The sequence below is a fragment of the Homo sapiens genome, chromosome X, assembly GCF_000001405.40.
Source record: "Homo sapiens chromosome X, GRCh38.p14 Primary Assembly".
NCBI classification, from domain to species: Eukaryota; Metazoa; Chordata; class Mammalia; order Primates; family Hominidae; genus Homo; species Homo sapiens.
This window is the reverse complement of record NC_000023.11, coordinates 18,613,572-18,628,117: the sequence shown is the minus strand read 5'-3', so window position 1 is coordinate 18,628,117 and position 14,546 is coordinate 18,613,572. Positions and strand designations below refer to the sequence as shown.

Here is a 14,546-nt window from a genome sequence, read left to right as displayed (position 1 = left end):
TCTACCTGGTTGCATCCTATCTCTAATCAGGGGATCTCATGCTTCAACCAGCAGGAAGGAGAAAGCAAAAGGTGTATGTTTCTCTGTTTTGAGAAGACTTCCCAAAGGCTCCACAAAATGCTTCCACTTATATTTTACCAGCTAGAACTTAGGTACACAGCCATATCTAGCAGCAAGAGAAGCTGAAAATATGGAATGTTTTAGTTAGCAATGTACTCAACTACAAGTCGTATAGCCCTTTTCGTTCTTATCTCCCCAATTTCCCTCTCTCGATATTGCAAAATTCAAATGTTCCCTTGCTGCACTTTTTTTTTTTTTTTTTTGCTTTTTTTTTGAAAGGGGGAGGGTAACATTTGGGCATTGAAAATGCAAAGCACAAAGAAATATGCAAAACCCCATCAGAACTATCTAAAGAATTAATTCACAGGAGGCCTTCAATTCCTAACATGGGCTCACAGTGGTCCGCCCTGCCTGTCTGTCTACTGTGCAGCTAGACATCCCCAGGTGCTGCATCAAGGAGGGAGACTGACTTCAGGGCAGAGGGGAGGAGCCTCAGAGCCGTCTGCTCACTGGACAATTCCTGAGCCTCATGCTCCTGAACGATGAAAGATGGCTCAATCTCCTCTTCCTCGATCTCGGAAGAGACATGGAAAGCACTTGGAAATTCACAGCCAATCATGACTGCTGGATTTGGCCACTTGGGCTACAACCCTAGCCTTGGGACCCCTCTGGGGCCAATTCTCAGAGTACCTTTGCTGTAAATGTCATGGTATAAGGGACATGCATTTAAGGGCTCAGTAAAGTTTGAATAAAATGTTGACGAACTCAAGGAACATTACAAGATTTGAAGGAACTAGGCACTGAAACCCAAGGTAAATGGCTTCAGAACTGACTCAAGTAGATATTGTTTCAGGGGAAAGTATTCTCCATCATCATTTCAAAGTCTTCCCAAGAAAGCTTTGTGCTCCCTACAGGAAGTAGCAGAGCACACTGTACACTCTAAGTGCTCAAAAGTGGCTTTTTAAAAATAATTAAATTGGTATAACACGATGAGACTCCTGGTGATTTTTATAGCCTTGACCACATGTAACTATCAAGCAATTACAATAAGCTGCATTCAGCAAGAGCTATAAAGTTATTTGAAAAGAGCTTCTAGCCTGGGCAACAAGGCGAGACCCCGTCTCTATAAAAAAATTAAAAAACTGGCCATGTATGGTGGCGTGTGCCTGTAGTTCCAGTTACTCTGGAGGCTGAGATGGGAGAATGGCTTGAGCCCAGGAGGTCAAGGCTGCAGTGAGCCATAATCTTGCCACTGCACTCCAGCCTGAGTGATTGAGTAAGACCCTGCCAGAAAGAAAGAGAGAAGGGGGGGGAGGGGGGGGGAGAGAGGGGGGAGAGAGAGAGAGAGAGAGAGAGAGAGAGAGAGAGAGAGAGAGAGAGAGAGAGAGAGAGAGAGGGCTTCTTGGTAAAAGAAATGGTTTCACAAAGAAAGTTCTAAAGCTCTCTATTCTTTTTGTTTTGTTTTGAAATTGGGAATAGAGAAGCAGGCCCTCACTCAGAGGCTTGTCTCTTTAGTTTGCATACATATCCAATAAACTTGGATATCTGGTTCTCTATGCTTCCACCATCCCCAGCTTATATTATGTTAGAAGCAGAAAATATAAATGGCTGGGGCAAATAGAATGGGAATATGGGGAACTTCTGCCAGCAGTTCTATGCAACAGCTTACAGTTAAAAAGAGTAAACAGAGGCTGGGCATGGTGGCTCATCCCTGTAATCCCAGCACTTTGGGAGGCAGAGGCAGGTGGCTTGCTTGAGCCCAGGAGTTCGAGACCAGCCTGGGCAACATGGCAAAACCCCGTCTCTACCAAAAATTCGAAAAATTAGCCAGGTGTGGTGGTGCACACCTATAGTCACAGCTACTTGGGAGGCTGAGGTGGGAGGATTGCCTGAGCACAGGGAGGTTAAGGATGCAGTGAACCGAGTTTGTGCCATTGCACCCTAGCCTGGGCAATGGGATTGAGGCCCTGTCTCAAAAAAAAAAAAAAAAACAGTAGTCCGCTCTCCCAATCACAGAAATCTGTGACACAAGAAATCACAGACACAAGTAATCCTATAGCCTCAAAAGCTCGGGAGGATTGTCAGAAATTATAGTGCAGAAGAATAAAGGATTTATAAAATACTCAATATCAAAAAACAAAATGCTCATTATGGGATACTGAAAAGATACATTACAAAATTTCCAACCAAAATAGTTGTTTAAAGGAGATAAACCTCAGATACCTGAAAAATTTACTGATTCAGTTTCTGCTTATTCCTCCATTACGGAAGATAAATGTGACTATATAATACAGTCTAATATGTAGTTCCTAATGCAACTGTTTGCCTGTTTCCTGTCAAAAACAGTATGGATTTCAGGAGTTGAAATATTCTTTCAAGAAAACTTATCATACCTGTCTTTCAATTTGTATGCTATTATTTTTAATGAAACCTTAATCTTCCCACCATCTGTGTTCATCCTGCCTGAAATGTTATGGCATGCCTCATTTTTTACCATGAATTATGGTTCTTTAACACAGCTCAGCTCTTTCCTGGGCTGTATTTATGGGCTGGGACTACATCTTCAGTTGCCTCCAGCTAGGTGAAGGCTAACAGAAGCTTGCATCTTTCCCAGTAGAACATGGGTCACTGAAGCAAGATTCATCCTGGCTCACGAGATGCATCTGGCTATAACTGAGGGTCTATTTTGAGGAGGTGCTCAGCCTTACTGTAACATTGAGAGGCTAAGTTTTCTCTAGCATGCCCTCCCCGCTCCTCAGGACAGTTACTGGAGAGTTGGAGAGTCTAGCAGTGGTGCAGGATCCACTCACTTGGGTCTGCAGATCTGAGATCTTCTCGGGGCGCCACTCCTTTGGTCTGCTGCTTGGAGTGCTAGCAGAATGAATGGATTTCTGCAACGTCAGAAGATCAGGGCTGTCGGAATTGGGTACCTAGAGCAAAATATGGACAAGCATTCAATAAGCACACTGAGAAGCCTAATTAAGATATGCAACCACACCCAAGAGGAGAACCAAACTAAAAAGCAAACCAAACCAAAACTCAAATAACCCAGTAAAAATAGAACCCCAATCTCTCCCAATGTTCACAATGCAAGTGATGCTAGTTAAATTCTTCTGCCCTCTTAATAATTTTCCCTGCATTAGGAAAAATTGGCAGATGTCATGCAGCTTTGTTAAACCTCAACCCTTAAAGCATTCCCATGCTGTTAGTTTTAGTCGCTGTAAGAGAGAGCAGTTAAATAGGGCTGTACCAGGAATTGCTGTCGTATCCTCATTCCATATTGCAGTTAGGTTGTGAACCAGTTCAATAAAACAGAAATTTTTTCCTGCTGGGAAAATGATCCAAACACTGTATATGGTAGTGCCAAAGAAGTCTGGTAGGCTTTCAAGGATAGCAAAGTGAGAAAGTATGGTTTGGATCATATTCCCAAACCACTGTCTGATATATCTGGATCTATCATTATGTACTAGAGAAATGCTGGAAATCTGTGCCACAAATTCCAGATGAATGCAATTGCTCTATTCACCAGTTTTGGTGAACACAGAAGAGTAATGTCAAATGCCAAGCAAAAGCCCTGGTTTTAAACTGACCAGCAAAAGCTCAAGCCAGACAAGGAAACAAGCTGTTTTTTCATGGAGCCTGTTAGCTCATTCAATTTGGTCAATTCAACTTGGCTTCAAAAAGACAAATTGCCAATCAAGTGTTAACAAACTCTGTGAGTCAAATGCAAAGATATTTGTTAACTGTAAATGTTAACAGAATTCCTTACATAAAATACAGGCTTTTATAAATGTTATCTGCCCATAACTGGCTAATCAGACATGACAAACTAGCCTTTCACTAGTTTGTTTGCTTAATAGACTTTGTGCTTCAACTTTCTTAACTGATTCAGAAGAATGGCAATGAATTTATATCCCAGTGAATTTATGGAACTGGCTCACGTACTTAACTAGCATAAAGAGAATATGACCTCATGAAAATAAGACATGCTGTTGTCATCAGTAAAACAAGTTTACTGGAGCAGTTTTCAGGGCTACCATACATAAAAACGGGTACCATGGGTGGAGTGACTACAGGAAGCTTTTTCAAAGAAGAACTATGCTTTAAATGATTCTTTGAATTAAAAAGAGGAAAGAGGGATTTCTTGATGCTTGGATTCTCCCCGTTGGTGGAATCTGTCTGCAATATAAGATACAAATAAACTAATTGCAAAAAAAAAAAAAAGTGCTCTTATTGAAACTACTAGCCCTTGGAAGCCCTCAAATTGCTAAATATTAACAGTCACTGAAAGAATCTCGGTGCTGTGCATCTAGAGCTTCTGTGCCAATTCTCACCTGGATGTGAAGATGTCAATAATGCAAATTCAAGACAAGCACAAACTTCTTCTAAGTATATAATGTGAGATCATGATCAATACCTCTAGTAGGAATGCCAAGAGACCTAGACACACCTACTCACATTAAGCTTATAAAACGTTAAATAATTTTTACTTACTATCAGAAATATGGTTATAAAGAACTGTGTTAAAGAGCTACTGATAAACTTCAATCTTCTCCTAATTGCTAGAGAGGACTTCAGCAAGTAAAAAATCTACCATGTAATTTGCCTATTAGGAGAAAAAAAATCCCAACATACTGGAAACCCTTTCGAATTTGGTCAACTTTTAAGCCTGAAAACATCACTAGGAAGAGGTATTGATCACTGTGGTGGGATACTAATGTTGAGTAAGAGGCCTTGTTCTGTACTGCTAGAAATATTTACCCAATGGAAAACATCTAGCACAATTCAGATACTGGTTTTCAAAGAGAAGAAACAGAAATTTCAATATTTAAATGGAAGCATCATCACAAGTTGAGATACTAACTAACTAGGATACAATTACCAAGTTGGCAAAGTCACCATATGCTCTGAGGACTTATGTAACTCTGGATATGTAACCAAAGCCAGATTTCCCAAGGCAGCTTCCAGATTTGCTTGAGTCGAAGCAGGCACCTTTACAATACAGAATTATTTTTTTTTGTCACCACTTTTCCCTGTTTTGGATATCTCAATTGTCAGAGAACTAGAATGTCTATGAAGGTATTCAAGTATTTAGGTAATCTTTTAAGGGTATATGTAAAAAGGGATTTGAGTAAAACATCCCACAAATTTTCTTGTTCCAATGACAGGAACCTCGAGGAAGAGTTTAACTTGCATCGCTGAAGAGGCCAGAGGAGAGCTCCTAGAGGCTCCCCACAGAGGCGGGTCCATGGTATGAATTGAGCCTGGACTTGGTATTTAGGAGAACGCAGTTCTGGTTCTCCCAGTTGATTATGTGATTTTTGGGCTTTGAAGCAAGCCCACAACTTGCTTGGGCTCAGTTCCTATACCAGTGAATAAAAAAATTCAACTAGATTTAGGATCCACCTCAGCTTTAACATGTCATGCGTCTCTATGTACACTGGGCATCAGATTTTCATTCTTTTGGAATCTTATGCAAAGGCCACAATGCCTTAAATCTTTTGAAGCTTATTCTATGTAGTTTCTTTTTGCTGAGTTCTAGAAAGTGAAAAACTATTAACAGTTTAAATGCTCATTCAAAGTAGGCAGAGTTAACCCAATGTCAGGCGTAGGACTCTGAGGTTTGGAAGGCTGTACTGAGCGCTCTTTGGAAATCCCAAAGCCCTTAAATTTTATGTTTCATTTAATTAAAAGATGCAGAGATACAAACAACTTTTGGGTTGGTAAAGCTTAAGGCATTATGGCCTATGCAGAGATATTCTACAGTTACTTTAATATCAAAAAGGAAACTTATGAAAACCTAATAAAAAGTTTAAGTCGAGAGGATGTTAGAGAATGGTTATTTTCCTTTTTACTCTAATCTATATTACTAAAATATCTAAAATTTAACTAAATTCTGAATAATAAAGTCAGCCAACATGTATACTCTACTTGTGCCACAGTGAGCCAGGGACTTTAGGTTTAATGTTGCTCTACAGTAAACATCAAAATCTAAATCTATATACAAAAACACCTTCAATTCCTTAATCTTTCCTACTTTCTACCACTTAATCACCCCACAATGCCAGGAGACCTGTGGTTTAGAACAAAAACCACAAAATAAAAATAACAGTGGTCAGGAGGTAGCCAAAGTTTAACGCTCATGATAGAGAAACATGTTCTACAGACAATGATAAAAGTTTTATTAACACTTTAAACATTTTAAGTATTCCTATGTTAAATCAGGTCTATTTGTTCACCCAGTTTAAGTAACAATTATAGTAGTATCTGACTGAGTGGCATTTTGATTTGACACTTTAAAAGTAAGCTTCAGTTAAAAATATGGGCAGTTTTTTTAATGACTACTTCAGAAATATTATGCAGCCATTAGGATTGAAGATAATAAAGTATTTGTAGTAACATACATATTCTGTGCATGTAGATATAGATAGATAAACTGTTAAAAGCCAGAATACAAAATCGTACTAAAAGGATTGCTCTAATTTAAAACTTAAAAAACAAACAAACAAAAAAAAACCCCACCTTCTTGCCACAAACATATGCATAGGCTAAACAGCTGGAGGAAAATATACCAAAATCCTAATACTAGTTGTGGTAGGGTATTAAGATTTAAAACGATCTTTTTCTTTTTCTCAAATTTTCTATAATGAACTCATATTTATTTTATAAGGAAATACATAAATTTAACAAGCAAGCAAGTGAAAGAATGATCTAGAAAGATTATCTAGGAAGGTATTTGTTAACATTTCTAGAACATCTGTGAGATAAAAATGCTTACTTCAGGTTATTTATACACATTGCTATGAACATCTACCTAATCTACTTCCCATTGAGTCATAATTCTATAATTTTCATAATAGAAAGGGCCTCAGAAACACTGGGTCTAATCTACTAAACTTATAGATGAAATCAGTGAAGTCCATCTGAACAGGCCATTTTGATTGTGTCTTTTTCCTCTTCAAATAAATAAGAATAAATTACGTATGAAGTAAAACTAGAACCAAAACCATTCAAAATGGCTAACTAGGCCAGGCACAGTGGCTCATGCCTAGCACTTTGGGAGGCCTAAGTGGGCAGATTGCTTGAGCTCAGGAGTTCGAGACCAGCCTGGGCAACATGGTGAAACCCTGTCTCTACAAGAAATACAAAAAATTAGCTGGGTGTGATGGCGTGCACCCAGTTATTTGGGAGGCTGAGGTGGGAGATCACTTGAGCCCAGGAGGTAGAGGTTGCAGGGAGCTGAGATCATGCCACTGCACTCCAGCCTGGGCAACAGGGTGAGACCCTGTCTCTAAAATAAATAAATAAATAAAAACGGCTAACTCTACCTTGTTTAGCCTTGAAGTTGTCATAAAGAAAAGGGGGATGCAGCCTCATCTAGGGGAAGAACTACTCCTGCTGCTGTCCTACAGGCCGGGTTTCCCCAAGGTTCTCATGTCACTAAACCAGCAGGATCCTTGCTTGGGTGGTTCAGTGAAGTGATGTGAACGGTCCCATGGAGCCAGCTCTTTGTTCAGGCAAAGGGCTCCCAGGAGATAAGGTGCATTCCAACCCACAGCGCGATCAAAAGGCAAACATATTTTCCTTCTAACGCAAGCCCTAAAATCCCAGATACGATCTTTGTGACTATATAACTCAGAAACACACCTGGCAACGTAGGAATTCTGTAACCAGCCAGGAGAGAATAAGGAATGATGGTTATTTACAAATTTCAACATTTAAAAGTAAACCAAAACCCATTTCCTAAGTTTATGCATATCTTTAAATCCCCAGAGAGAAACAAATCCTGTGTCTTCAAAGTTTTTACATTAATATAAGCCCACATAGATAAGAAGTATATTGAGAAAGGCTTAAAGTGTTCTCTGTCATCCAAATTAAATTTCTTCTATTCCTGGAGATTCTGTTGAATGTAGAAAAGGCTCTGTTGAGAGGATAGTTGTAAAGAATTTCAGAAAGAGACATAATACAGTGCAAAAATGTCAAGTCTCAATAAGAAAACAATCAACTTTGATTGCCAAGTGCAAAGTGTAAAGTATCCATTGAATAATGCAGAAACATGTTATTATATATAGAAACTGGTCATCTACTTACTGTTTGAGATTTCTTCTTTTTCTTTTTCATTGACCTGAAAAATCCTTGCTTCTCTTTTTCCTTGAGTTGCTCTGAATGACTAATATTTTCAGGACTTTTCCTAAATGAGAAGACATTTTTATCATATTGATTTTTCAATCATTTTCTTGCCATTGTGTGACAAATATAATAAGGACTGAAAATGCATGACACTAGGTTCCTATAGCCGGGAAGAATCAAACACTTGGGTAAAGAGCCTCTAAAAAAGCACAGGAGGAACTAAATTTAATCAACCATGGTTAGTGATTATCCTCTGGCACAGGCTCACTCAAAAGAGCAATTTGAGCATTATATGACCTGTAACTGTTGCTGCAAGACTATTTCCATGCTGTTGAAGACCTCAGAGTTTGAGATTATGAAAAGTACACAGCTTAAAGGATGGCTTTTCTGTAACTCTACAAGGGAAAGAGCAAAACATTTTCAACACCTACCTTCATTTTTCTATTTACCTTTTAAAAACCAGCTCGACAAGTTTATTATTAGCGACTTGTCAAGATACTGAACATAAAGATCAATACAGCTATAAAAACATCTTGAATGAAAGTAAAAATTTGCCAGAAACTGGAAATATCCTACTTATTAAACCTTTTATGTATTTATTAAAACTAAATAAAAATAGTTAAGAAAAAAATGTAGGGACAGGTGCAGTGGCTCACACCTGTAATCCTAGCACTTTGGGAGGCTGGGACAGGATCGCTTGAGGTCAGGAGTTTTAGACCAGTGTGGGCAACACGGCAAGACCCTGTTTCTTTAAAAAAAAAAAAAAAAAAGCTTTCACGGGGCGGGGGGAAAAGCTTCTAACTGAAAATACTGACATTAAGCTTGATACCACTGACACCACCAGGTATTCTGAACTCAGAATGATACATTTATAATTTTGAAAGCCAGAAAACTTCAGACATGATGAAATGGGTAAGTGTTGAAAACTTAAGAGTCTTTATTTTTATTTATTTATTTTTGAGACAGTGTCTTGCTCTGTTGCCCAGGCTGGAGTAAAATGGTGCGATTTTGGCTCACTGCAACCTCCACCTACCGGGTTCAAGTGATTCTCCTGCCTCAGCCTCCCAAGTAGCTGAAATTATAGGCATGCACCACCAGGCCTGGATAATTTTTTTACTTTCAGTAGAGACAGGGTTTTACCATGTTACCCAGGCTGGTCTCGAACTCCTGACCTCAAGTGATCTGCCCACCTCAGCCTCCCAAAGTGCTGGAATTACAGGTGTGAGCCACCGCGGCCAGCCAAAAGAGTCTTTAAATGTAGTGTTGTATTGTTGCGAAAAACATTCTAAACCCAATGACAGACTGGGCCTAGGCCCTGGGAATTTGGTAAAAGTTTCTTGTGACAAGTTCTTTTGCAATTAAGGAGATGAAACCCTCTTGCATGGGGCTTAAAGACAGACTGTCGTAAGCTAAACTCCAAGACACAGCATTCAGTCACTTGCCATTGGTAAGGAACACTGCAGAAGAGTGGGGTTTTCTGGAATCACAAAAGCATGACTCTGGATGGAAAGGAGCCTCAGAGAGCATCTAGTAGAAATGGCAATACTATTTTTAACGTTCTGTAACTTCTAGAGGTTAAAGAATTATACGTTTATGAAAAAGCTATGTCGTTCCACAATACTATCTGCAAAAACACAACCTAGAAGCACAACAGAATATTCAGATTAATGGGTAGAAGTTTTTACCAAGCAGAATGAAAGTCTCACAAAATACCACAGGTGTGTTGAGGGTAAAAGTGCTTTCTGCCAATCCAGCAAATCTTTAAGGAAGACATATTCATCATGACTGCCATCTCAGAATGTGAATGGGCATTACTGTAAGAATGTTAATGCTGGCACAAGAGGAAATGAAGGCTTGAGACACCAGTCCTAGGAGGAAGTAGGATCTTGCATGGTAAGAGGAGAATCTATGCAGGATGAAACGGTGAATAAGATGAAAGTGAGAAGGGGAGGGTAATAAAAGGAAAGCTCAATGTTTGCAGTTTGCATGTTGCATCGTTGGGTCCCCAGGACACAGGGAAGATGGGCCAAAGACCCTCTACAGGGGCTTTTCAAGAGGCACTGGATAAACCACAGCCCAGGTGGGGATAGAGGAATGATTGGGACATTTTCAAAGATCCAGGCAGAGAAAGATCCCAGAGGCCAAATGAAAAAAAGAAATAAATTACCCTTGAACTGGTGGGTGAAAACTAGGAGCGAAGCGTGTGTTTGCATCACCAAAGACAGAAAGAAGGATGTCAGAGAGGAAAAACAAAACAAGCGAGAAGCTATGCAGAAACATACATACCCAAAGAATTAACACAGAAAGGGAAGGGAGAAAAGGCTGACAGAGTGACTCAGAGACAGATGGAAAGAGGCTGGCTGGAACAAAGGCACTTGAAAAGCTGTGTTGTATAAAGGAATGCAGAATGAGTTATACATTGACAGCTGGAACTGAGCCATATGGGTAAGGGTGTGGTTGGTCATTTCCCTCATTTGCGCATTCTGGCCCCTGTGATTCCACCTGGAAGACAGCAGCTTCGTGCTGAGTGGGGTAAAGAGGAGCAGCACAAAAGAAGGGTAAATAGGGGGTTCACATCAATCTCAGAGACAGAAGCTTTGAGAAGGACTATTCATCCAGTCACCTGGCACCTTCTCCAGAGCAGCAGTTGGGACCAAAACAGTACGGGAGGAGGGCAATGAGACAAGTGGTAAGCAGGCACACAGGCATGGGACTCTAACGTTATCTAACATGACAGCTATTTCCATAAGGGTCCAAGAGGAGACACAATTCCAAAGATTCACCTAAAGAAAGGAAGGAATTAAAATCCAATGAATCACTCAACCAACATTCAGCAAGTACTTTATACATGTCAGGCCCTGTGTTAGGTGTTGAAGAAACAGAGAAAAATAAAAGAACGAATCTGATCTCACTCAAGCTGCTCACAGACTCTTGTTGGGGGTAGGGGACAGGTTTGACAGCTAGGGAATGGGGCGGGGGAGCATCATGGTCAGGCTTATGGGACTTCAGTATAATCCCTCTGAGAGCAGCATGGAAGGTGAGCTGAAGTGGTGAGGAGCATTACTCTGTGACACTTTCTCTGCCACCTGCCCCTCCCCTGGCGATGTGATAAGCGTGGTTAGCTAATGTGTGAGAAGAGAGAGTCAGTGAATAATTCTACGGGAGTAACTCTGAAAGTTATGATGACAAGCACTAATGGATATCAATATATTCATAACCTTACGAGAAAAAGAAGGCTGGAATTGTGCAAGTTACAGCAATTCTTCATTTAACTAGTGGGATTTCTTTCTTTTTTTTTTTTTTAGACGGAGTTTCGCTCTTGTTGCCCAGGCTCGAGTGCAATGGCGTAATGTCGGCTCACCGCAACCTCCACCTCCTGGGTTCAAATGATTCTCCTGCCTCAGCCTCCCGAGTAGCTGGGATTACCAGCATGCGCCACCATGCCCAGCTAATTTTGTATTTTTAGTAGAGACGGGGTTTTCCCATGTTGGTCAAGCTGGTCTCGAACTCCCAACCTCAGGTGATCTGCCCGCCTTGGCCTCCCTAAGTGCTGGGATTACAGGAGTGAGCCACCGTGCCTGGCCAACTAGTGGGATTTCTAAGTAATTTGGTTTACTCTTTAAACATCAATTTTTAACCCAATTGACAGCAGTCTTTCTAAACATATTTATACATTTTGTCTTTCAAAGCAAAGTGAAGCTGCCTGTTTTATAAACACACACTCCATAGAGATCTATGATATGTATGATTTTCCAACCTGCTTCTCTCCATAGCTATTGCTTGGATCCTTTTCCCTCTGCATACTGTAGTATTACCTTGAACTATTTCTTGCCCTGACAACCTCAGTGCTGCCTGCTAGAACTGAGCATAAATGAAGAACAGACTCCAAATGAGGGTAGGGGTGTTATCCTATTAGTAAAGATGATTAATCCCACCATATTAACTCTATTTTGCTTGTTCTGAGATATTTTGGCTATCTCCTGATTCTTAAGTGGGTTCTACATAACTGAGATGGCCAGAATAACAGCTCTGGATATCATACTGCAATATCTATTTATTGCTTTAAAATATAACATAGTAGCTTGACTTTTCCATTGCAAGAAAGGGGTACACTGTACAAATATTCTCTTCCTGAAGTAAATCTGAAGTACAACTACCAAGGAAAAACAGACTGACCTTAGGTAAGAGATTATTTAGGAATAGCAATTCACGGCCAGGCACAGTGGCTCATGCCTGTAATCCCAGGACTTTGGGAGGCTGAGGCAGTCAGTCACTTGAGCTCAGGAGCTGGAGTCCAGCCTGAGCAGCATAGTGAGACCCCATGTTTACAAAAGATACAAAAATTAGCCAGACATGGTGGCATGTACCCACAGTCTGGGCTACTCAGGAGGCTGAGGTAGGAGGATAGCTTGAGCCCAGGAAGCAGAGGTTGCAGTTAGCCAAGATTGCACCACTGCATTACAGCCTGGGCAACAGAGCCAGACCCTGTCTCCATCCCCTCGCAACAAAGAATAGCAATTCACTATATTACCATAACAAGGCTCTTTGATGTTTTTTGTAAGTTACCAAATGTGCATTTCTCTCAAATATGAAGAATCTGATGAACCAATTCGAGAGCTTGTTCAAGAAAAAAAATCAAGATGAGTCAAGTTGAACTAATGACAGACTAAGTGAGATGCGATGAAGGAAGGAAATACGTCATAGCAGCATTATCACGAAGAGTTAACAGAAACAAAAGAATAGAGCCAGTTCATCACTGGCAATTCTGGAACTCTCAAGTCTCATAACAGCAATACTAGAATAAGGATGACCTGATGAAGACTCAACTAAAGTTCAACATCCCAATTGAGCCTCTCATTCTTTTTAAAACAACTCTTTTTAGGTTTCTGTACATATCCACGCGTAAAACAAGTTCTACTTAAACTGATTATCAAAAGACAGAAATAATACATTACTAACACTGTCTATCTCAAATTTGGATTTAATTTTGATCTGACCTAATTTTCACAGGACTAAGGTAATCTGTAATTGTTACTCTTTTAAATCATCACCACTTCATTATGTAATAATCAAGAGAATCCAATTCCTTCTGCACTTCTGTATTCTCACCATTTAGACAATTTTGTCATGACTTATCAAAGCCACACCAGAAAATGGTCAACACTGGTAAGTAAAGAAGTTATACTTGTGTTCTCACGTTAATTCGCAGATCTTTTCTATATACTAGGGAGCTTAAAACAGTCACATGGAGAAAGAACACCAAAGTTTATCATCAAAATGGAGGGGAAACACCTGATGTTGAAGTTAGATGACAACGATAGTAACTGCAGTCACTAACATTAATGAATGCTTACGGAGCCAGGCATTATTCTAGGTGCTTTTAATGCATTGCCTCATTTAATTATCACATGAACCCTATGAGGGAGGTGCCATTCTTAGCCCTATTTTACACATGAGGAAACCAAGAGACAAATAGACACAGTCCTCTGATTGATAGACAAGTTGCCATCAACCAAGATATCCTATTTCCAGAGTCTAAACTCTTAGTCACGAACATTAAGACTGTCATTTTATAAATAGGCAATGGATGTAAATTGTGCTTATACAGCAAAAGTGTATTTATAGCTTTTAAGAAGTCATTTTTTATATTGTTTTAAGAATAATTAAGTAATTTTCACTATAGGGCACAACAACACTGAAACCTTGATGTAACTTTATCAACAGGGTCCAAATTGTGACATCACATGGAGTCAGGAGTACTGACATAAGGCCCTTCTGTTACTTCTGGCAACAAACACCAGAGAGGGACTCTCTGACAGACTGGTCTTGTTCCAAATCCAGTGTCTTACAGTGATGTCCCATTTTATGCTCTTGGTAGAGAACCTGGGCAGTCTTTCAGGGTAGTTGAGAAGAAGTCTACATTATTATTTTTCTTAAAGTCCTTACTCCTCAGACAGATTTGCTAATGGATCTTGATAAAACTGTAATTCTCTCCCTAAATATTTATTAGATGCGACACAAAAAAGATAAAAGAATAAGAAAAGTTGCCACATCATTTGTGCCTTTCATTACCATTATGCTTTTATGGTAGCATAAAGGACTGTTCCCCTATTTCTTTTTACCCTGAATGACAGACAGGTAGCACAGAGGTAACAACCATGAGCTCTGGAGTCGGAGCCCATTTAAGTTTGAACCCTGGCTCCCTTCTCCATGTTACTGGCTGTCCAACACCGGGCCAGTTCCTCGACTTTTCCAAGCTTCAGTGTCCCTGCCACTAGCATGGAAGCACAGTGTGACTATGAGAACTGACTGAGACGATGCACATCAAATGCTAAGCAAAGTGTACCTGGCTCAAT

The 14,546-nt window shown here is 40.0% G+C and overlaps 1 protein-coding gene across 3 annotated transcripts in view; it reads right to left on the bottom strand.

Moving 5' to 3' along the window:
* CDKL5 (cyclin dependent kinase like 5) overlaps positions 1-14,546 on the bottom strand; it is a 228,022-nt gene that overhangs the window by 25,512 nt on the left and 187,964 nt on the right. For all 3 annotated transcript variants that reach the window (NM_003159.3, NM_001323289.2, NM_001037343.2), the window contains 2 exons: positions 8,152-8,251; positions 2,871-2,990 (listed from right to left, as the gene is read on the bottom strand). In NM_003159.3, the coding sequence (NP_003150.1) occupies positions 2,871-2,990; positions 8,152-8,251 (220 nt within the window). The remainder of the gene's footprint in view (positions 1-2,870; positions 2,991-8,151; positions 8,252-14,546) is intronic.